Source organism: Homo sapiens, chromosome 13 (genome assembly GCF_000001405.40).
Source record: "Homo sapiens chromosome 13, GRCh38.p14 Primary Assembly".
In the NCBI taxonomy this organism is placed as follows: domain Eukaryota; kingdom Metazoa; phylum Chordata; class Mammalia; order Primates; family Hominidae; genus Homo; species Homo sapiens.
In genome coordinates this window covers 41,674,693-41,698,795 of record NC_000013.11, presented here as the reverse complement: position 1 = coordinate 41,698,795, position 24,103 = coordinate 41,674,693, and the positions used below count along the sequence as shown (strand labels likewise).

General features: G+C 35.4%; 1 protein-coding gene across 1 annotated transcript in view, besides 1 other annotated feature; it reads left to right on the top strand.

Moving 5' to 3' along the window:
- Positions 1-24,103, top strand: part of VWA8 (von Willebrand factor A domain containing 8) — a 394,275-nt gene that overhangs the window by 262,314 nt on the left and 107,858 nt on the right. The window contains exons 30-36 of the mRNA NM_015058.2: positions 5,824-5,934; positions 6,858-6,922; positions 7,351-7,476; positions 8,521-8,630; positions 9,288-9,442; positions 13,554-13,749; positions 23,500-23,581. Of these exons, the coding sequence (NP_055873.1) occupies positions 5,824-5,934; positions 6,858-6,922; positions 7,351-7,476; positions 8,521-8,630; positions 9,288-9,442; positions 13,554-13,749; positions 23,500-23,581 (845 nt within the window). The remainder of the gene's footprint in view (positions 1-5,823; positions 5,935-6,857; positions 6,923-7,350; positions 7,477-8,520; positions 8,631-9,287; positions 9,443-13,553; positions 13,750-23,499; positions 23,582-24,103) is intronic.
- Positions 2,144-2,223: a silencer, noted in NCBI's record as "silent region_5292". NCBI's record gives its function as "represses an Ori minimal core promoter by ATAC-STARR-seq in GM12878 lymphoblastoid cells {active_cell/tissue: GM12878}" and the evidence as "EXISTENCE:reporter gene assay evidence [ECO:0000049][PMID:35858748]".

Genomic DNA, 24,103 nt, shown 5'->3' with positions numbered 1-24,103 from the left:
GAAGCTTACACTCATTTTGGGGAGATAGACAAGTAAACCAACAAATGAACATGCCAGTTTCAGGTAATGATAATTGTTACATATAGAAACAGAGTAATGTCCAAGGGAGTGATGTAGATGGGGTAGGAGGAATTGAGGTGAATGGTATTAAAAAGAGTGCTGAGATATTTCCTTTTAGGAGACGACATTTTATCTGAGACCCGAATGACGTTTTTTGGTAGAGACAGTCATGTAAATACACCAAAGGGAATACAGTGAGATCCATCAGTATCTAATGATGCTCAAGTTCTATCCGTCATTTACTATGGATTAGTACACTAAGATTGTACTAGTGACAAGCACAGATGCCCGGAGTCAGGCTAAAAATAATTCCAAACAAAACACATATATCAGAAGACAGATTGTGCTTCAATTAGTGATCATTCTAAAGGTCTAAGTTAATCTATACAATACCAATAGAAAGGAGCCTAATGTTTTTGTATACCTATTATCTATCTAGTATATACCAAGTACTACACTAAGCATATTATTCATTCAACAAATATATATCATGTGCCTCCTATTGGGGATACTGCAGTGACCAAAAATACCCACAAATTCTTGTTCTCAAAAGCTTACATTCTGATCCAGGAAGATAGACAATAAGCAAAATAAATAATTATATCTTAAATTAGAAGGTGAGAAACAAGAGGGAATAAGACTGCAATTTAAAATAAGGCAGGCAGGGATTGTCTAATTGAAAGGGGGATATTTAAACAAAGATTTTAGAGAGGTGAAGAGGAGAACAGGTACCTGGAAGAAGAGAGTTCTAGACAAAAGGAATAGTAGGTTTAAAGGCCCAGAGTCTAGAAACATGCCTCTTCATCTTTAAAGAAGCGTAGTGGGGAAGATTGAATAAGAGGGAAGTAGGAGGAGGTGAGATAAAGAGGTTACACTGTGGGTTGGAGTAGGGGCAAAGTGAAGGGGGTGGTGAGAAGCAGGTTGTGCAGAGCAGGGGTCCCCAACTCCCAGGCCGCAGACCAGTATTGGCTCCTGGCCTGTTAGGAACTGGGCCGCACGGCAGGAGGTAAGTGGTGGGCAAGTAAGCATTGCTGCCTGAGCTCCACCTCCTGTCAGATCAGCCACAGCATTACATTTTCATAGGAGTGTGAACCCTATTGTGAACTGCGCATGCAAGGGATCTAGGTTGTGCGCTCCTTGTAAGAATCTAATGCCTGATGATCTTAGATAGAATAATTTCATCCTGAAACCATCTCACACCCCCACACAGCCCCCACCCCACCTCCCCAGTCAGTGGGAAAATTGTCTTCCACAAAACTGGTCCCTGGTGCCAAAAAGGTTGGGGGCCACTGGTGTAGAGTCTTGTAGGCCGTTGAAGTTTCTGGGTCCTGACTATGAGTAAAAGGGGAAGACATTAGGAGGTTTTGAGCAGGGAGCTAGCATGATTAAAGGATTTCTCTGGGTGCTCTGTGTGAATAGTCTGTAGGTGCTAAGGCACAATGAGGGAAACTAGTTAAGAAATAATGGTGGTTTGGAGGAGGATGGGGCTCATAAGCAATGACAGATTCTAGATATATTTTGAAGGTAGAACCAACAGGATTTCCAAACAATTCCAATATTTGGGGTGAGAGAGAAAGTAAAGGACAACCGTAAAATTTAGGGACTGAGCAACTTGAAGTTGCCAGTGACTAAGATGGGGAAGCAATCAGTTTGGGAGGGAAGCTCAGATGATATTAGATTCAGTTTGAGATGTCTATTAAATATCCACGTAGATGATAAGACTGGAGTTCAATGGAGAGCTCCTACCAGGAAATACAAGCTTGGGATTCATTAACAAATGTTCTTTAAAGCCATGAGACTGAAAGAACTCACCAAGGGAGTGAATGTAAATAGAGAACAGAAGTTCAAACACTAAGCCTTGGGGCAGTAAAATATTAAGAAATCAGGGAGATGAGGAAGAATCAATGATTTGAAAATGAGTTTGAAAGTGAGTGACCAATAGAGTAGATAGATAAGCTGAGGAGTGTGTTATCCAGGAATGCAAGTGATGAATGTCTCAAAGATAAGGATCAATTGTTAAATGCTGATGACATAACATGTAAGAGATTGCTTACATTACTCATGTTATTCTTCCAGCTGCCCAGTGAGGGTAGCTCTCAGCCACATTTACATATGAGAGGACTGAGGCTCAGACTTCAAGTAACTTGTCTGGCAAGTACATAGCAGAACTGAGATTCATAGCATATTGGATTGACCCTACCAGAATTAAACATCACCTACTCTCTCACTCACTACAGATTTGGGGAAAAAGATTAGTTTGAAAATTAAAAAGTACTCATAATAGGAAAATATTTTTTAAATGCAGTGTTGTTACTTATGAATATTTAAAGAGCAAAGTGCTACCAAGAAATAATACTTTCACTAATCAAGAGAAAAGTATTGCATAATATATCAGTAGTTCATTGAGGAAATAAGTCAACTTTAACTTTAGTCCTTGCCACCAGAAATTATCACAAATTCTGAGTTATAAGTATTTTTCTGATTTTGTTTTCACTTTTTTATTTTTACTTTTACTTTCTCCTAGGAGCAGAATTTATAAACATCCAGATATTGTTTATAAAACTTTATCTCCTGAAAATTGGAATGAGGGTTTTACTTTAAAGATTTTCAACAAAGTATTGATGCCATTGAATTTAACTCTATAACCAAAACAATGTGTCATAAAAGGTACATGATATCTTGGTGGTTTGTAATTTAGTAAATCAGTCAAAATTGGATGAGACTACATTTGGAATATTTATTTTAACAGTCCTGCCACATTTTCAGCTGTCAAATTAACTGTCAAATTTACATACACAAATTCTTTAATAAAAGTGCCAGATTTGTAGGTTCTCAGCAAGAGTTTTATTTCCTCAAAAGATCCAATTATTTGGTAACATTGCTGATTAATACCTTATTTAATTTCAATTACTTTCATGAAAGAAAATCTGATTTTCATTGTGAAGCTGTGCTTGACTTCCATAGCCAGCATCTTGCCTCCTCATATACTGCCTTACTTACCCCTTTGGCCACAGTTTCAAGTTTTCCAGGAAACTGCTTCGGAACCCTGAGCAGACCTGCACACCTTATCTGTATACTTCCTCTCTACCTGTCCTCTAAACTGCCTTCTCTTTTCCCGGAGAGAGTATCTTATTTTACAATATACCTCTGTCAAGATGTCAGACCTGTAAAATTCCATGTGAACAGCACACAGCTGTGAAATTTAACAACTGATAAATAATTCTAGTGGAATGAAAAATAAGTAGACTGCCATCAATTCCTTCTTCTTCATTCTACCCTAACTGAAAATGAAGCAAAATATTATAGAGAAGTACTTCCATGAATTCGGCTATTCCTTGCCTTTTTAACATAAAGCTTTGCTCAGATGCATGTCCCTGGTTAGTTTAAGAAGTTGTTCAAAAATTCCTTGCTAAAATAAAATCTTAAGTAAGGAAAGGGAAACTTTGCCATGCCTAAAAATAAAGACCCTCCCCTTCCCCCACTCCCCATGAGATTATTTATTACATCTGTACAAAGTTTAGAATTTCAGATTTAGGGACATTGAGGTCATCCAGAGGTTACTTTTCTCCCAGTTAAATACAAACATAATAAAATTGCTCACTCGCGTCTCCTCCCTGCCCCCCTTAAAGGAGTGCCAAAGCCACAGTTACATGTACTCATGTGTGACGCAAAATTCTATTTTTAAACCCAGACAGAATCTATCATTAGTCATTTACAGAAGGAAACCATTAACATCTAAAAGGATGGAGCAACAGAACTCCTTCATGTTGCCAATTGCTTATAAACTAATTCTAAATACAGCAGTGGCTGGAAATACATGTTTTCTGTCACTTAGAAAGATACAGTTTTTCAGTTCACTTATGCCATGTTATGAATATGTAAGTATTAGACCCTAAAAAGGTAGGAAAATGGAAGACGATACTAACTTCTTTTTCTGCTTGATCATATTTGTTTAATCAACTGCTTATTCTTATGCTTACTCATTTTTGGGCATGAAACATTTTTAGGACTTCCTTTGCTTACAAAGGCTAATATTATCCCAAATTGCTTAAGTGCTAAGAATTCATTTTAACGTTGTACATATTTATTATACAAGAAATATTTTTTCCATCAAAAAGTACTCATTCAAAAAATATTTAATCTAGAATAGAGATTATAAATTTTTAACTTAATTTTATTTTTTTCTTAAGGAAAACTCTAAGATATCATTACCATTTTCAAAACTGTCAAGTAGTGGTGAATGACACTTCTTATATGTTAATTTTTAAAAGAATATTTCTAACACACATTCTTAATGGAGAATTATATCTTATACAGAATGATACATTCTAAGGGTGATGTTTATGAAAGAAATTTAAGCTTGGTTAACATGCTTAGTAAAATTTTTTAATACAAATAAAATTCAGAGTATATGGTGTGAAGTGAGTTATATGGTGCAAATACTATTTTAATTCTTGAACACTTCCACAAAATTAGCTTGTAAAATAAAATTAAACCCACACTGAGATGCTAGATTTGCAGATGAATCATTCATTTTTTTACATTTCTTTTTATTTCTCTAACTAAATTATATGACAGAAGGCAAGGGTCATGATTAATTCATTGTTGTATTCTTTATATATTAAATATAAGCTCCTCAATAAATATTATGGAAAAAATGAACAAACACTTCACATTTTATTGTTTTCTATATTTTTCAAGGTTTTTATTAATTCTTCATGTGCTTTGTGACTTTATTTTCTCCAAAAGAAATTCTTCTTGAAATGAAAAGTTCACAAGAGTTAGGATAACTGGAGGAGCCCCACATTTAAAATAAAATAAAACAAAGAAAGAAAAGACACCCGCATAACAATGAGGTCTGACAAATAACTTGCAGGTACCTTTCTGCAAACCTGTTAGTCTAATCTTCAAAATTCTTTATATTTTAACTAAAAAGCCAACTTCTTTGCATCCCTTTAAAATATTTAATTTTTTCTGGCTTTCTCAATGTTAAGTTTTTATTTCATGTATTTCAGTTCATTTATTTCAACACATAAGGTTTATTTATTTTCTTAAAAAAACGTATCCTAATTACTGAAAGATTACATCATTGCATAGCTGTGATTAATAATGCTGCAGAAATCTGTTGTTTGTACTTTATTACAGCACCAGTTATGAAGGTTCTTCAAGCTTGGTGAATTTCTAAATGAAGGAACATTCATTACTAGCTAGTTTCTTGGAGTCCTTCATATTTCTTGCTTAGTCCTCTTTATATCTATTTTATACCTATTTTCTAAATTGAACCTGGATTTGTGAAAAAGATAAATGAGATTTAATTATGCACAATATAAGAGAGCTTTCAACTGAGCATTCTCTAAGTATAATTTTGTTACAGGTAGATGAATTTCTTAAAATCATCAATCCTTGTAATTTCCTTATAACTAGATAATAAAACAGAATCATGGTTCAACTAGCTTATATTTAAAAGGGAATGGTTTTTACATAAAAATATTTAAAGAGAATACCTTCTGCATCACATATTTAGAAACGTCTTCATAAAACCACCAAAAATTTTAAATTCTTAAATTAAGAAGCACTTAATTCTTTGTGATTCTTAAGAAAAATCACTTAATGTCTTTGTGATATTTCTTAAGTATTACAATATTGTCTTTGTTTTGATTTATCACTATAACCTTCACTGTCAGGTTGCCAAGAGGTTGCTGCTTTAAAAAAAAAAAAAAAAAGAACAAATCTTGAGCTTTTCACTGTTTTTATCATTTGCAGAGTAATGTTATCCTGTTGTTAGATACTACTGGCCGGGCCCTTCATCGTCTCATCCTCCCTTCCGAGAAGTTTACATCTAAGAAACCTTTCTGGTGGAACAAAGAAGAAGCTGTAAGAAACACCACATTTGTCCCACAAATTGCCAAGGATTTCTATAGCTTTCTAACCAGAAAGATGCATGCATGCCCATCCCTTTAAGTGCCTTTTTTGTTGTAATGCACAAGAGAATTTCCTGTTATGCACGTATAGATTTTAACATGATATATATAACCATAGATATGTGTATAATTAAATATCAATAAATTCTTTTTATGACATTATACTTGCATGAAGATTTGCCAGGACTGGACTAACAATAAGAGAAAATTAAAAACTATTTGAATATCGTATTTTTAACAAATTTCTGATCATGGAGTCAATTTAACCTGTTTTCCAGTTATGTAGTTATGTTTTGGATTTATATGATGAAACTGTGAGTATGATACCTAATTTCCTCCATTAGACAAATAAGTGTTTTAGTTTATTAACTAAATTAAACTAGTAAGTAAATAGTTTAGGCCAACACAAGAGAATTTATTCTGCCATTCAGAAAAAAATAATGGATTTAAAATAAGGTTTACCCTCTGCCCTGCAAGTCAACATACTTAGGTCTTAAAAGACTATGAAAAGAGTGATTTTTTTTAATGTCATAAATGTATCCTAATATAAGAAACAAAGTGTTTCCCATGTGTTTATTTTATGGTGTAAATTCCATGGTTAATCATCAGATAGCCTGTTATTTCTTAACAATGTTTGGTGTTGTTTTTAAAAATTTATTCTGAAGAGGCTTTAGTACAAAGTTCACAGTAAATTTTGATATATAGTTTAATCCATTTTACCATAAGAGTCTTAGAGCAGATAAATAGATAGCTTGTTTGAGAATTACATGTTTTACTAGTTGAAGAACTTTATTTTATTTAAGGGGAAGTAGCTAAAGAGGGACATGACTGTATCTGACACATTTAATATGAATATCTTGTTTTGTTTGTCTTTAGGAAACTTATAAAATGTGTAAAGAATTTTCACACAAAAACTGGCTGGTGTTCTACAAAGAAAAAGGGTGAGCTCTTTATTATAGAGGATTTAAACTGGAGTTCTTATTTGGCCCATTCTATTTCCTATTTTGATTATACTTGTTTACTATAAAGTGAATGTAACCAAATTATGAATGTTTTAATATAAAGTAACTTGCCCACATTGCAGAATATTGAGAAACAGATATAAGAAAAGCTAGTGCTCACAATTCCATGACATAGCCACTACTAACATGGCAATGGTTACTACTTTCCATTATTTTTACTTATACACACCCTGACATAGTTTAGAATTTTGCATATCTGTTTTTTTAATTAACATTTTTCTATATTATTACTTAATCTTAAAACATTCTTTTTATGGGTTGCATAATGTATCATGAAATGATTATGCCAGATTACTCAACCATTATCCTCACCATTTCCTTTCAGATACAGTTTTCTTCTTTTCCAGGAACAGCCTGACTGTGCTGGATGTTCTAGAAGGGCGAACTCACACCATCTCACTTCCCATCAACCTCAAGACAGTTTTCCTTGTAGCAGAGGACAAATGGCTTCTGGTGGAGAGCAAAACAAATCAGTGAGTGGCTTTATATAGTGTATCATGGAGTATGTTGTAGCTCAATCTTATTTATGAATTATCCAACATCTTTACTGTTCTGTCTTTCCTGTGTCTGTCCTTTAACAATTTCTGTGTTTGGCAGCATCTCTATATATGAGACTTATAAGAATTGAGGAGGGGAGAAAAAATAAATGTCACTTCTCAGAAAATGACATTGAAATTAACAGTTAAAAAATCATGACTTTTTCATATGATCCATATTTATTTGGGCTTTTTCCTATTTGTACATTGAGAATTCACTGTATTCTTGCTAAACTGGAGACACTTCAAAGTAGATTTTCCCTTCAAAGAGCCACAGTCTCTATCCTAGAGCTGTTGCCTCTTTGTAAATTCACAGAGTTCACACCTTAGAAGTGTCTTTCTCTTTTTATCTTGTGTATTCTGGTTTGGATGTGGTTATGTTTATGTTTATGTTATCTGACCCATTGGACTGTGCAGTTCTTGATGAAAGGCGGTGTCGACTTTGAGCACCTTCCCTCATGCACAACTCCACTAGCTAAGTGCAGACTCTTTCTGCCCCTCTGCTGACAAGCAGAAGTATCTCATTGCAGAGGATTTCTGCCTATATATACATCCATATTTTAGAAATGTTAAAAATAAGTAGATCAAGGAGACTACAGTTGTGAGGGCATCTATCTCCTAGCTGATCACAAATCAGAAGTCATACTCCCCCTTCCTGGCTGATCAAAGAGTTTTATCAAGAGAGGGTTACATGATAATAAGAGTGCACCCCATTAGAGTTGCTTCCCCTCCCCACAACCCTTTCTCTTATAGGAAGCATTGGATTTTTGCCTCACATTCATTACTGTATTGCTGTTGTGCACTGCTCTTTAACACAGTGTTGAGAAGTTATTTGTTAATTCATGATGAAACTCTAAAACTGCAAATTATACTGGAACTATAAAAAAGAGACTGAGGAGAATCTAATTTTTCTTAGTCTGGCCTTATTACTATTAGAAAAAGAAAAATTTCACTTAAGCTAGATGTTTTGTTTGTTTGCAGGAAATATCTTTTAACTAAGCCTGCACACATCGAATCTGAGGGTAGTGGGGTTTGCCAGTTGTATGTGCTGAAAGAGGAGCCGCCCAGCACAGGGTTTGGAGTTACACAAGGTAAATACTATGTCATCTGTGTTTATGGCTGTGTGAGTGCATGCTTGTACATATACTGTCTTCTAGAATCATTTAAGAACAAAACACCAGCCTATGTTAAGTTTACACCAAAAGAAAAAACTTAGTCACTACACCAGAAATAGTAAATAAGAATCTAGTATCTCAAATTGTCATAAGGAAGTTCACTGTTGTAAGCTCTGTCCTTGAATTTTTTTAACTGACAGATCAGTATTTTTATATACATTTAGGTTGCAAGTCTAATTTAGGATAACATCTTTTTTCTGCAGACTATTGGGATTTCTATTTAATTTATCACAGTTTTGGGGGATGAATAGTACTTACGAAAAAAATCTAAAACATACCATTGCCAACCCTTGGTTGGGTCAGTTTTTACATCTTTTCTACAGGGAGCTATTAATTATAATATTTATTCCTAATAAAATTTTGAATTCTGTAAATACTTGAAATCACTTTGGGAAGATGCCTTGATTATAAAAACAGCATTTTTTCAAACAAAAGCCCATGAATGTAATTTAAAATGTTTTCTCTTTTTTAACTTGTTCTTTTCCATTTGACTTGTTGAGAATAAAATCTTGCAAAAAATTAATTCCTGGAGCATTTCAGGAGCATATGGTGTCTAATGTTTGTACTTTTCAGAAACAGAGTTCAGCATACCTCATAAAATTTCCAGTGATCAACTATCATCTGAACATCTAAGTTCAGCTGTGGAACAAAAGATTGCCTCTCCCAACAGAATTCTCTCAGATGAGAAAAATTATGCTACAATAGTTGTTGGTTTTCCAGATCTCATGGTAAGCACCCATTTTTTAAATTATCGGATAAATGTTTCTTTCCCTTAGTTTGACCTATAATCTGTAAGCCTGTTTGAGGGGTAATTAAAAACATAATTTCCTGGTAAACATGTTGGATCAAGTCTTCCTTCCAAATCAGTCAGTAGAAAATATGTTATACCTAAATAGTTTCATTACACTTCAAAAATTAACATTGAAAGCGTAATGCAATGATAGAATTTAGTAGGGGGAAATGAGTATTCTCCATATGTGGGGGTTCATGTAATACAGTTTAAATGCTTAACCTTCTGATGGTAATTTTCTGTCATGTCTTCTATAATTTTTTAAAGTTAATTATTTTTCCATCTACACATTCTATATATTTATTTATTAACTTTTATTTTAGGTTCAAGTGTACGTGTGCAGGTTTGTTATATAGGTAAATTGCATGTCACAGGAGTTTGTTGTACAGATGGTTTGGTCATCCAGATAATAAGCATAGTACCTGATAGGTAGTTTTTTGATCCTCACCCTCCTCCCACTCTCCACCCTCAAGTAGGTGTCAGTATCTGTTGTTCCCTTCTTTGTGTCCGTATGTCCTCGATGTTTCGCTCCCACTTGTGAGAACATGTGATATTTGGTTTTTTGTTCCTGTGTAAAGTTAAATTTGTTGGATTGTCATTATTGTAGATTAAAATTTTCAACAGTCATGAAGATAGATTTATTTTCCATTGAGTTTTGCTCTGATTTATCATATCTTTGCAGCATCCAGGTTATAGTATAATGGCTAATTGTCTCAATTGATTTTCCTCTTAGATGGGCCCTTCTGTTATCTCCTATTACCTATAAAGGAGAAGCTATTTGAATTGACTGTAGGTGAAACTGGGCGACATCTTCCTCTGATGGAAATGTGGGGAAATTAATTATAAAAGTTATTTCAGTCCAAGTTGCCATCTAACAACCTTAGATGTAGCTCCATGTGTTCTGACTAAACATTTAATTTTTATAATTTCCTTTGTAGCTTTTAGATGGGATGATAGAATTATTTAAAGATAAAAATATGGGCTCTGCTTGACGGTACTCCAATTTTGTATGCCTCAACATTTTAATATAGTTAATGAATGCTGGGTACTTCAGGATATAAGATTTGAAATCTAAAACTCAATGGATAATGTGGCTTAGGACTCTGATGTATGTTTTCCTAATTATCAAGTTAAAAGCATCTGCTATCATGTAATTCAAAATGAAACGTTATTGAAATACAGTGTTTATAGCAGCCTTGATATGAAAGAGATGTGTTTTATATGCTTTCTACAATGTTTGCTGCTGTAAAAAAAAAATTGGGACTTTTTCTGGAGATAAAACTATTTTAAAAATTGATCTTCTAATTACCTTCTTCTGATTGAAGAAATCAATATAGAAGTATAATGTTATTATAAAAAGTTAGAAAATAAAAGCTAAGTTAAGGCACTGTTTCTATTAACCTTGTAGAAATTCTTATAGCCTGTAACACTAGTGACCTTGTTAAATTAAAAGCTATATCCCTGCTACTTAGTGTGGTACCTACCACATAGGAGGTATTTAATGAGTATTTGTTAAATAGAAGATTAGAGTCAGCTAGGCAGCCTTTAAGATGACAGTAATACTTTTAGGCCACAACAGAATAGGCAGTGTGCTGCTCTAAGCCCTTTCATACATGATAGTTAATTTTTACAACAATTCTATGAGGTTTTACAAATGAAAAAAATAGAAACAGACAGAGCTTATATCCCCTAGGCCACAAAGATTATAAGCAATGGAATTTGAGCTCAAGTGTGACTAGCCAGCCCTCTAACACACATCCTTTTACCACACCACACTGCCTTCTTGCTTTATGTGAACTTCTTTGGATTATGTATGAAACTATTGACAAATGAGTATGCTACCTCTTATTAACTTTTTCATAGAGTTATCAGTGGCATCTAAATTATTACTTGTATAACTTTTAAAATCTAATACCAAATAGCTATAAGAATCTGTAGCAAATATCATCCTCAATGGTGAAACATCAAAAGTATTTCTTTTCTTTTCTCATTAGAAATAAAACAAGGTTGCCCACTGTTACCATTCTATTAAACATGGTAATAGTGTCTTAGACATGATATATAAAGAGAAAATTGATAAATTGTGCTGCATCAAAATTTAAAATTTGAGCTCTGTTAAAAGACACTGTTAAGAGAATGAAAAGACAATCTACAGGCTGGGAAAAAATATTTGCAAACCACATTTCCAACAAAAACTGGTATCTAGAGTCTATAAAGATTCTTAAAACTTAACAGTCAGAAGGCAAATAGCCTAATTTTACAAATGAGCAAATAGTAGGCCAGTGTGAGTTATCAAAGATCAGAGCCCAAGCAAGGTAAGGACATCTATGGTGGGGAGAGGTAACCACTAGTGATGGACGTTAAGCCCAAACAGGATGAAGATGGCATTCCTGTGAAGGGGCAGCCTGGAATGGGATGTAGGAGCCCAAGTAAGGTGAAGTATGTGTCCCTGTGTGAGTGCAGCCCCTATGGGCTGTCAGAACCCAAGCAGGTAGAGTGGAGCATCTGCCCAGGGAGTAAGGTTAGTGGTGGAGATGGGAGATGGGTCACATACAGTGGACTTGAGCAAGAAAGTAAATATATGAAGGGTAACAAAATACATTAAGGATAATGAAAACAAATTTTTAACTGTTGGAGAGGGGAATTACAGATACTGAAAGGAAGAAAACTAGAATGAACCATGTAGTTATTAGATTGGAATTGGATATATTTTTGTGAACTCATAGATTTCAATGTATTTAGGTAGATATAGAAGTAAAATTAAAGGTAAATGTGAAAAAAAAAATGAGCAAAAGACTTGAACAAACACTTAACCAAAGAGGATAGAGGGATGGCAAATAAGTACATGAAAAGTTATTGGACATCATTAGTCATTAGAGAAATGCAAATTAAAACCATGATGAGATACTAGTACCTACCCGTTAGAATGGCTAAAATAAAAAAAACACTGACAATACCAAGTACTGATAAGGACGCAGAGAGCTAATGCAACTCATTATTGCAAGGGCAAACAATAACCAGAACATCTCTGAAGAAGGACCAGACAGAAGTACTCTTCCTATTAAATTTCAAGGATAATTATAAAACTTCAGTAACTAAGACCATGTATTGGCCTGGGAATAGAAAAATGCACCATAGAACAAAATGCAGTGCCCAGAAACAGATACCTGCATATAAACTGTGTTTTATGATACTGTTGCTATGGGCAAAAGTTAGTGGTATTTGGACAATAAACTATACATGTGAGAAAAGGATGAATGCAGATCCCCACTTCATACCATTCACAAAAATTAATTCCTGATAGGCTAAGGACTTCACTATGAAAGATAAAGCCTTAAAACTTTTAGAAAAAGCATAAGAAATTATCTTTATGATCTTAGGAAGGATAAATACATACGTGGTAAAAATTTAAAGTAAAGCAAGGGAAAAATAACACAAAATTCCAGAAGAGTTAAATCTAGGGGAGAGAGAGAATGACTGGGAAGGGGCCCAATCACTTTTGAAGCCCTCCCAGGGCTTTAAAAATGCTAGTTATGTTCTATTATGTATAGATGTTTACTTTATTTTTTAACTAATTCCTATATTTCTTCTGTTTAGTTGTAATTGATTTCAAGGTAAAAAATTTAACTTGTATATTTTACACTTGTCTGAAAATTATGATTATTGACAAAGCAGCTACCTCCTTCCTGTACCACATCCAAATGACTTTATTTATTTTTTGTTTGTTTAAGACAAGATCTCCTCAGTAGCTGGGAATACAGACATGTGCCACGATGTCTGGCTGATTTTTGTATTTTTTATAGGGACGGGGTTTCACTATGTTGCCCAGGCCAGTCTCAAACTCCTGAACTCAAGTGATCCACCAACCTTGGCCTCCCAAAGTACTGGGATTACAGGCATGAGCCACTGTACCCAGCCAATAATTTGATTTTCTTATACCTGTGAAACATTAGTTTCCCACTAGTATCTGCTTAAAGGGCTGCGTTGTTAAGGTTGTGGTGAATGTAGTATATGGTACTTCAGTACTTTAATCTCTTTCTTTTTTTCAGTCACCCAGTGAAGTTTATTCTTGGAAGAGACCATCATCTTTGCATAAACGAAGTGGCACTGATACATCATTCTATAGAGGAAAGAAGAAAAGGGGGACTCCAAAACAAAGCAATTGTGTGACTCTTTTAGATACGAATCAGGTAGTGAGGATTTTACCCCCAGGAGAAGTCCCTCTAAAAGATATCTACCCAAAAGGTAAGAAGGAACTCACCAATTCCTAATTTACAAAGGTGGTTTAAAGTAGCTTCCTTTTGGTAGAGGATATTTAATTTATCTTTATCATTTCATACTTATAAAAATTGATCATTCCGACAAGTTTAGAAGTAACTAAAAAGACCTCTCCGTATTCAGAAAGTTCTTACTCATTTTCACAGTGTGTGGTTGTGGCCACTGCTGTTAGAGCTCATCTTCATTTATATTATAATATATGCAGTAACTTTACCTAAAAGATGTTTTCACAGAGCCTTTTAAAAAGTCTTAGTATATTAGGCATAGAAACTGAGGCCTGCCTTTTGTCTTAAACTCCTAAGACTGAAAGTCAGGGGCTTATCGTGCAGACTGATTCACTTAACAGCACTCTGAAAGTCAACTTATATTTATTACTGCATAAAATATCCAATTCCTGGGATGATCTCCTTTCCTTGTATAAATTCACTTACTCCTTAAAACCCCATCCTATTGTTAGCATGCTCTCTAATTTATACATGAAGATATTCTGACACAGAACTAAAATAACTGGCCCAGGATCACCCCACCAGTGGACAACAGTGCCCAGATTTGCACCACAATCTTCTAATCCCAAGTTTAGATCTATTCTTATTGAACCACACTGGCATTCATCATAACAGATAACTATGAAAAAGTTTGATCATTGATTAATTGACTTTTTTTTTTTATGTCACAGTGGTAGTGATATATTATCTTGTGTCTATATGCATTGTATTAGTGTGGACTTCACAAATATAATGCTAAATGTATTATAATAATCTGTAACAGGGTTTGAAAAGTTCTGATTATATGATAACATTTGGAATTAGTTTCTTCCCAGCTGAAACTCATGGAAAATAAATCACCATTTCCTTAAAATTTTTTTTGTGGTAGAAGAGGCAGATGAATAAACTGACAATTCTAGTACAGTATAATAAGATAGGAATATTCACAAGGTGATATATAAACACAAAGTAGAAGTTTACAATCCATTCTGGAGACTATGAGTTGACTCTTGAAAGATGAGAGTTAATCAGTTGAAGGATTTGGTCCAGGAAAGGGGTACTCCATGTGAAAGATGCAAGGACTTGGCAGAGCATTCCAGGAATTACAAGAAGTTATGTACCAGAGTTTAGTGCACCTGCATTCACCCAGAAATCTGGGACTCACCTTGATACCTCTTCTCCCTCATCCTCCACATTTCATCCATCATCAATCACCATGTCCTGATATACAGCCTTGCAAATATATCTTGTATCCACCCACTAGTCTCCAATTCTGTTACCAATATCCCATCCAAAGCACCACCATCGTACACTGAAATGTTGCCATAGCCTTCTGATATTGTTACCTCTTCCACTCTTTTCCCCTCCTACTCTTTTACACACATCAGACAGGGTGATGTTTTTAAAGTACAGCATACATTGGTTCTTAAGCTCGGTTTATATACAGTAAAATTCACCATTTCTAGCATATAGTTCTGTGAGTTTGGCAGACACAAACAGTTGGGTAACCACTACCACACTTGATATAGAAGAGTTTCATCACCCCAAAAACTTCCCCCATTCCATTTTGTGTCAGTGCCTGCACTTACCTACAACTTATCACTGACCTGATTTCTTTTCTTATAGATTTGCCTTTACCAGAATATTATATAAATGGAATCATACAGTATGTGGTCTTTTAAGCCTGGCATCTTTCAATTAATACAGTGCATTTGAGAATCATTTATTTATTTATTTTTTATGTTATGTGTGTATCATTAGTTTTTTTTTTTTAATTGCCAAGTGGTTGCCTATTATATAGATGTACCACAGTTTGTTTATCCATTCACAAGGTGACATATTTATTGGTTTTTTCCAGTTTTGGGCAATAAAGAGTAAGGCCACTATGAACATTTGTGGGCAGGTTTTTAAGTGAACATAAGGTTTTGCTTCTTTTGAGTAAATGCCTAGGAATGGCATTTTTGCATCATATGATGAAACTGCCAAACTATTTCCCAAAGTGGAAATACCATTTTGCATTTCTATCAGCAATGAATGGAGGTTTCAGTTGCACTGCATCCCTGTCAGCACTTGGTATTGTCAGTTTCTCACCATTCTAGTGAGTGTAGTGATTTCTCATTATGATTTTAATTTGCGTTTTCCCTAGCACCTAATGATGTTGAGTATTTTGTTTTATGTGTATCTTCTTTAATAAAATATGTTTCAGATCTTTTGCCCATTTTTAAATCGGGTTATTTATTTTCTTATTAATGAGTTTCGAGCATTCCTTTTGTTTGTTTGTTTTGAGACAAGGTCTTGCTCTGTTGCCCAAGCTGGAGTGTGGTGATGCGATTTCAGCTCACTGTAGCCTCTGCCTCCCAGGCTCAAGCAGCACCCAACTCAGGCTACTGAGTAGCTGAGACTACAGGCACATGCCACCACATCTGGCTAATTTTTGTATTTTTTTGTAGAGACAGGGTTTTGCCATGTTGCCCAGGCTGGTCTCAAACTCCTGAACTCTTGAGTGTTCTTTAGTGTAGATACAAGTTCAGTGTCAGAGATGTACTTTGCAAACATTTTCTCTTATTTTGATGAAGGGCAAATCTTCTATGTTTTCTTCTAGAAGTTTTATAGTTCTATATTTTACATTAGATTTATGATCCATTTTGAGTTAATTTTTTACATGGTGTAAGGTATGGACTGAGGCTCTTTATTTTAATTGCATGGGGATATTCAATTGTTCCAGCACCAGCACCATTTGCTGAAAAGACTGTCCTGTCGTTTCTCTTTTGCACTGCCTTTAGACCTCTGCTGAAAATCAGCTGCCCACATGAGTGGGTCTATTTCTGGATTCTCTATTGTGTTCCATTGGTCTATGTGTCTATCCCTTTACTAATACCGTACTCTCTTGATTGCTTTATAGCTTTATATTTTATAGTGAGTCTTGGTTGACCCAGGTAGTATAGATTCTTCCACTTTGTTCTTCATTTTCAAAACTGTTTTAGTCAGAAAGTAATATTTTAAAACACAACTCAGGTCACATTGTCCTTAGGATAAAGTTTAGAAATTTTAACTTGGCTTAAAAGATGCAGCGTGGTTTGTCCATTACATAACTCTCCGACTTCTTTCAGTTAATTTGAATTTACAAAATTCTTCCCAACTTTCTGCTGCACCCCTTCCCCCCAACCCCCAAACTCATTCTCATCTGTCAGTTCTCAGTTTAAATGTCACTTCCTCAGAAGGTCTTGTTCAAATCTATATTAGGTGCCCTTGTCATACTCTCTCATAACACTTCCTATTTGGGGACGGGAAGAGTGTGTTTATGTTTCCATGTGTATTTTAATTTTTCACAAAATATCTCAGGCCTACAAAAGTTTAAAGAAAAATACAAAGAACATCTTTGCACCCACCACCCATATTGGTAAGTCATTACCAGTATGGTCAGAGACCCCTGTGTTCTCATCTCCTTCACTTTTTGACAAACTAGAGGTAATCTCTATTCTGAATGTGAGTTCAGTACTTATCATTCACAAAATAACATATAGCTTTTTTTATGTTTTTAAACTTTGTGTAAATAGTATCATATTGTATTTATTCTTCTGCAACTTGGTCTGTTTTTTTCACCATCATGTTTGTGAGATTTGTTGCTAAAGAAAAAAATCATTCATGACATTTGTTAGAAAATGGGAAGGTAGGCTTTATGCAGGGCCATCTTGATAGGTCTAGGGATGACTGCAAAGAAGTTTTGTAGTAAGGGAAAGAGATGGGGCTCAACTCTGAATATAACAAGGAAAAGTGGAAATAAGTGAAGGAGTAGGGTGGGGGTCAGTGGATGGAAAATTACTGAGAGAAAACATCTAGGATAAGAGGGAATTCTGGCTGAACAAACCTAACAGGATCCCTGCTGAGAGCAGCCGAGAGTGATCTGACATCACCTGGGGGATGGTGGAGAATGGGGAACCCAATCAGATATCAAGGGTTAGGGATTCTGTTTAAACTGACTTAGCAGGATTCTTGTTAGCATTGAACAATGCAGAGATGAACACAGAGGCCCCGGAGTTGGGAACTAGTTGGGAAGAAGATTCAGAAGAGCCTGACTACAGTTCAGTCAAAGAGAGACCTTTGTCATCATCCATACTGATAGTTCTACTTTTATTTTCACTGCTTCACATACAACAATTTATTCATCTGTTATTTGTCAGTGCAAATTTAGGTTCTTTCCAGGTTTTTGCTATTACAAATAATGGTGCTATGAATAGCCTTGCACCAGTCTGCTTGTGTATATGTTGAGTCTGTAGGGAACATATTTAGGAGCAGAATTACCAAAGGTGTTCCAGTAGCATAAAGGGGATCCTGGTCCATCCCATCCTAATCTACTCTTGTAAGGGTCAAACCTTTTATTGTGGTTTCACATTACCTTTTTCTGACTTTTAGTACATTTGAGCATCCTTTCATATGTTGCCATTTGCTCTTCCAAGAACTGCCTATTTAGCCATTTTTCTCTTAGGTTCTAGGAGTTTTATTTCCCTTCTTTTGTTTAAGTAGTGTTACTAAAATATTCCAAACATATATAAAGTGCTTAGGACAATGTCTGGCATGGGGGAAGAATTTTATAAATGTGGGCTGTAAAAAAAGAGAGAAAGAATGAAAATCCCTATGAGCATGGTGAAGGAAGATCCCAGGGTAACAGCCATGCACAGGCCTAAGATTAGAACAGATGACATTTCAGGAGAGATGTCTCTTAGAAATTGAAATTGATAAACCCAATATATATGAACATATTTAGAGATTTTAACAATTAGGGAACCTTGGGAATAAATTTGTACTAAATAAAACTAAACAAACAAAACATGATGCTTATTAGCTCCAATGAAAGCAAAAAGTTATACAGGAAAAAGTAATGATAATATAAGACATAGCAAAGCTGTGATTAGCATTTAGATAATTATAATAATATAAGCACTGGATGTTAATCCAAGCAAAATTATATGAATGTTTGGGGGGATGGGAAAATCGGGAGTGGGGGATTGGGGAATGAAAAAGAGTTAAACTCTCTTCTTGCTTGGGAGGAAGGCAAGAGATAATACCTGAAGCTGAAACATCAAGAGGGCACCATAATGATGAAGGTGAATACCACAGAAATAGCTTAAAAAGTTGAAAGTGTCTCTAGGGGGCAGGAAATGGTGGGGCGGCCGGGGGCGGGTAGGGGGTAAAGCAGGGCTGTTTGTTCTTTAAGCCTTTTTGATACTTAATTCTATGTGCATGTAGATCTCTGATGAAAATTCAAGCTAGAATAATTTTGTAAAGTAAACCAAATCCAACCATCTAATTAGTCTGGAACTAATGTATATCAGCCTTTTATAAAGAAATCAACTGTAAAGACTACTCTCCTGGTGGCTTTCACAATAATGAGGTAGCTTTTATTTAATGCAGATGGGGAGAAATTTATTGCTTTCTTCCAACTGTTTTTCTTCTAGCTAAATGCTAGCTTCTTTTAAACCACAGGTCTGAGCTCTTTAAACACAAAATAATGATTCTTGATTGAAAGCAGTACAATGTTTTTTTGAACTTTGGGTAAAATCAAAAATTTGGTATCAGCACAGTTTGGGGGCACACATCACTCTTTTTATCTGTGAACACAGAAGTGTGTTAAACCCAGTGATTAATAGGTGTACATCAAATTACAGTTCTAGAAGGAGTGACTTTTTAAATAGCATTTCACCTTCCCTCTGAAAATTGTCTTGGTTGTTTTGCCTGACAGTTTTTAATACCTCCTTCTAACCTTGGCACTGTGCATGTAAACTGTCCCCACTATTCATGGGAGCTATGTGATAAACACTGCTGCAATGACTTCCCTTTAATGGTTAGTGAACTAATCCCTAAATACAACTTATACCTATCTTTGAAATCCACCTGGATTATAAATGTAATGGAAATTTACTGAGCCTCCATCCTCACTCCAGTGTTAAAACGTTTAAAATGGATGGATGAGGACTTGGCTAAGTTTGGAGGGAAACCTGGCCACAGTTTTCACTTCCTTAATTCAGTCAAGTATTCTGTTCAAGAATCTTTTTGTAAATATTCTTTTCTTCTGAGCTGACTTATTTTCAAATCAGTAAACATCAATTTTTATTATTTTTAAAGTGCTTACTGCTACTACCACCACTACCACCACCTTTACTATATTTCCCTGAAGTGATCTGTAGCCACAATTACCCTTCTCTGATATATGAAAATAGTTCTTAATACCAGGAGTAAAATTCTTGCTTTCTACTTCTTGAAATAGTAGACACTGTCATTATTGCATTTTCTCACCAAGGAATTAATTAGCAAAGTAAAAGAAAAGAAAGATATGGGAAAAAAAAGATATTTTAAAATAAGTTGGCTTACTTTGCTTTCACAGGCAATCTAAAAGTGCTGATGGCAGTAGCTCAACTTAATACTATTCCTTATTTGTAAAAGTGCCTCTAAGTGGCAAGCCAAAATATGAGTAAGTTAGTTAGCGAGGCAGCTCCACTCATCTCTATAGCTTCAGTAACTGGTCACTCTTGGCAGAGAACCCTGAGCTATAAATAATTCAACCTACTTCAGCTAGGTTCGAGCAGCAGGAATTGTTAAAAATGATATATGATACAAAACTTTATCCAAGATTGACCTTATATCACAGGCAGAATTTCCAATGCAGACTGTGTGTGGCTTACGATAAGCATATTCATTTTGTGCAAATGGCCACTTGAAGACAGCTAATCCAGCTGGGTGGTCAAATTACTATAGTAACTCTATTTTCTTACCCATTCCTCTCCTTGGACATTACCTTTTCTTCCTGCTGAGCTATTTGTCTCTTGGGACAACCCATGCCTAGCTCTGCAGCTCATACCTGGCCTCAGGACTGTGATTCCAACTCTAGAATCCTTTCCAAGTCCCCAGAGGCCCACAATGGTTTAATAAAAAGGAACTTTCCTCATTTTACTGTGAATGCCTCAAAGTCAGAGACCACATCTCTTTTCTGTATCCTCGCTGTTTCATATGATGTCTGGCGCAAAATATGCTCAAACACATTTGTTAAATAAATAGGAGATATGTCGAGTTTTTCAGCTGGCCTATTTAAAAACCTTCAACTACATGCATGAAATAAAAATGTCAAGTTTCTTGTTTTTTGTAAACTACATTTGATAAATTCAAATTTGAATTTATCCAGGACATCCTGGATACTTCATTCCAACCAGAAATTGTAATAAAAGATGGATGGATGGATGGATGGATGGATGGATGAATAGATAAATATATAATTCTAATCAGAAATTGTCATCAAAGATTAGATAGAGAAACAGACAAAAATCTTAAAAAGCTTGGGTTTTGTGTTGGGGAGTTTTTTTTAAGAGAACTTGGTGGCCAAGATTTTATAAAATGGGATATTTTACAAATAGCTATTTCACTAGGGCCAACTCACATAGAAGTTGTGTGGAGTGGTGGCCAGAGCATAGATTTTAGTGCTAAAGAGGCCTGGGTTTGAAGCCATCTCCATCACTCTCCAGCTGTATCACCCCAAATAAGTCATATTGTTACATTACCTCTATAAGCCTCAGTTTCTTCATCTCTCAGACAAGAATTATTAGTCTTTGTTGTTGTCAGTATCAGAAGCACTCTCTGTGAAGACTAAGCAGTGTTTCTGACACACCATGGTGGCAGCTAATGATTTTGAGGATGATGGTTACTCAGGGCTGTGGAATAGAAATCAGTGTAGCACAGGAATTTGCTGGAAAACCAACACTGAGGTATACTAATGACATCACATGAGTATAACAATTATAGAATTAGTTGAGGGCTCTGGACCCCTTATCTCTTTATCTTCCCCCAACTTTTCATATTCTTTACTATCCAGGATCCTGAGAGCTGATCATAATCCCAAAAAACACAATCCCCATGCCATAACCCCAAATGTTGAAATCCCAAAAGAAAGATAAATATTCCTAAAGTCTAAAATTCTGGCACAATCCCAAAAGATGAAAATCTTGAAAATATAATTCTGGAAAAAATAATTTTAAAATTATTTAAAAGATATTTATGTACATTTTTGAAAGAAGATTTTTTTTTGAGAAACATAAAAACAGCAGAACAGGCTGGGGGTGGTGGCTCACACCTGTAATCCCTGCACTTTGGGAGACCGAGGCAGGCAGATCACTTGGGGTCAGGAGTTCAAGACCAGCCTGGCCAACATGGTGAAACCCCGTCTCTACTAAAAATACAAAAATTAGCTGGGTTTGGTGGCGGGTGCCTATAATCCCAGCTACTTGGGAGGCTGAGGCACGAGAACCACTTGAACAGAGGAGGCGGAGGTTGCAGTGAGCCAAGATCGCACCACTGCACTCCAGCCTGGGCAACAAGAGTGAGACTCTGTCTCCAAAAAACAAACAAACAAACAAAAACAGCAGAACACTTCACAAACCACCTTGCACAATAAAATAGGCAATAATAACATACACTTTTTGCAAGCATAAACACTCAGGTACACTAATGACATCACATGAGTATAACAGTTATGAACACATGAGCCATATTCATAAAGCAATTGGTCAAAAGGGAAATGTCATACATGCATATCAGTATGTTTGGCGGTTGAAGAAAAGACTGTTCCAGCTCTCAGAGACCAATTCACCTTCTGTATTTGTCCCCTCTAGGCTCTTGGCTGGTGGGATGATGTCCACCAATATTGAGGGCAGGTCTTCACCACCTGGTTCCCTCAGACTCACATACTAATCTCTTTTCCAGATTACAGATACAACCAAAATAATGCTTTACCAGGTTTCTAGGTATTCCATAATCGGTCCAACTGACACCTAAAATTAAGTCCACAAATACACCCTTTGTCAGCTTGGCACCTATATGCATCTCCTTAAACCATACTTAAATTTCCAAACAAAGACAGTAACAAAGTAATAGCTCCGTATAACATGATGCAATTATACTGTGATTGTGATTTTCAGGATTTTAAACTTTAGGGACTTTTATCTATCTTTTGGGATTTCAACAATCAGAATAATGGCATTCAGGATTGTCTTTTGGGATTATGATCCAAACTCCAGAGTCCTCACCCCACTGCCCCATCCTCACCTCACCTTCCCCTGTCTTGCAGGGCCCTAATAATGACAGATACTGTGTGATGAGCAACCCCTGTCGGTGCTTTGCATTTACTAATTTCATCTAATCCTCAGGATAATGCTTATGATGCTCAGATGCTGTGGTCATCTGAGGTTGTTATCCCCATTTTACAGTGGGGTTGTTATCCCCATTTTACAAATGAAGAAAGCAGGCCTCAGAGAGGTCAATAACTTGACCAACCTAACACAGCTCGGACAGGAGCAGGACTTCCTACCAGGTCAGTCTAATTAGAGAGTGTGCCGATTCCACCACATTTTACTGCATTGTTGTTGCTTCCTAAGAAGGAAAAACAGTTCAGATGATGAAATATTTTTTAAAAAAACTGTAAATGCAAAAACATTGACTCATCTTGGGAAGCTATCAAAGACAATGAAAATAACTTAGGTTGTTTTCTGACAGTAAAGAATCACAGCCCAATATGCTTCCCTGAGGGAAGCATATTTCTCAGAGTCTAGCCATGAGGGTTGACCCAGTACCTTGTCAAGTAGATCCCAGCGTTCTACCCTAGGCTACAGATAACTTGATTCCACTTTTAGCACCATTTTGGTATCTTGCAGTAATTTAATACTTGGCTCATGTCATGACTTGTTTGTAGATGTTACTCCTCCACAAACATCTGGTTATATAGAAGTCACTGATCTTCAATCAAAGAAACTCCGATATATCCCTATTCCCAGGTAATCCATTTCACCTTTGTTCTTAGCTTAGTATGTCATAAAAAATGAGTAAATTCTTGCTAAGTACTCTGAATAAATGAGTACTTTTTTGCTTCTTTAAATAGCAAGCTCTTTTTTTTTCCAGTTACAGTTGGTTTCTATCTTGCTGTTCTTCTGAATGTTTTCCTGGCATTTTTATTTTCATTTTGTAAAAATATTCCAGTGTTACATAGGTATAAGTCAAACAGCCTGCAAGTCTTTGTTCTCTTTTGTTTGATCTGTTCTAATAAGTTTTTCTGTATCTGAATAGCATTTTTAGTATTACAAAAATTATAATACTTATTAACTTTGTGTATGTATTTTCTGAAGTAAATGTGTTCAAAATATCAAAACAATTTAAATAGATTTCTTTAATATTGTTTTGATATATGTTATTATGCATCTGCAGTCAGGGAGGTTGTACAATAGCCAAAGGATCCCAAAGCTTTAGAATAGGACTTATTACTGTTCACCTCCTTCATTATTGTCCCACTATGGAAGCAA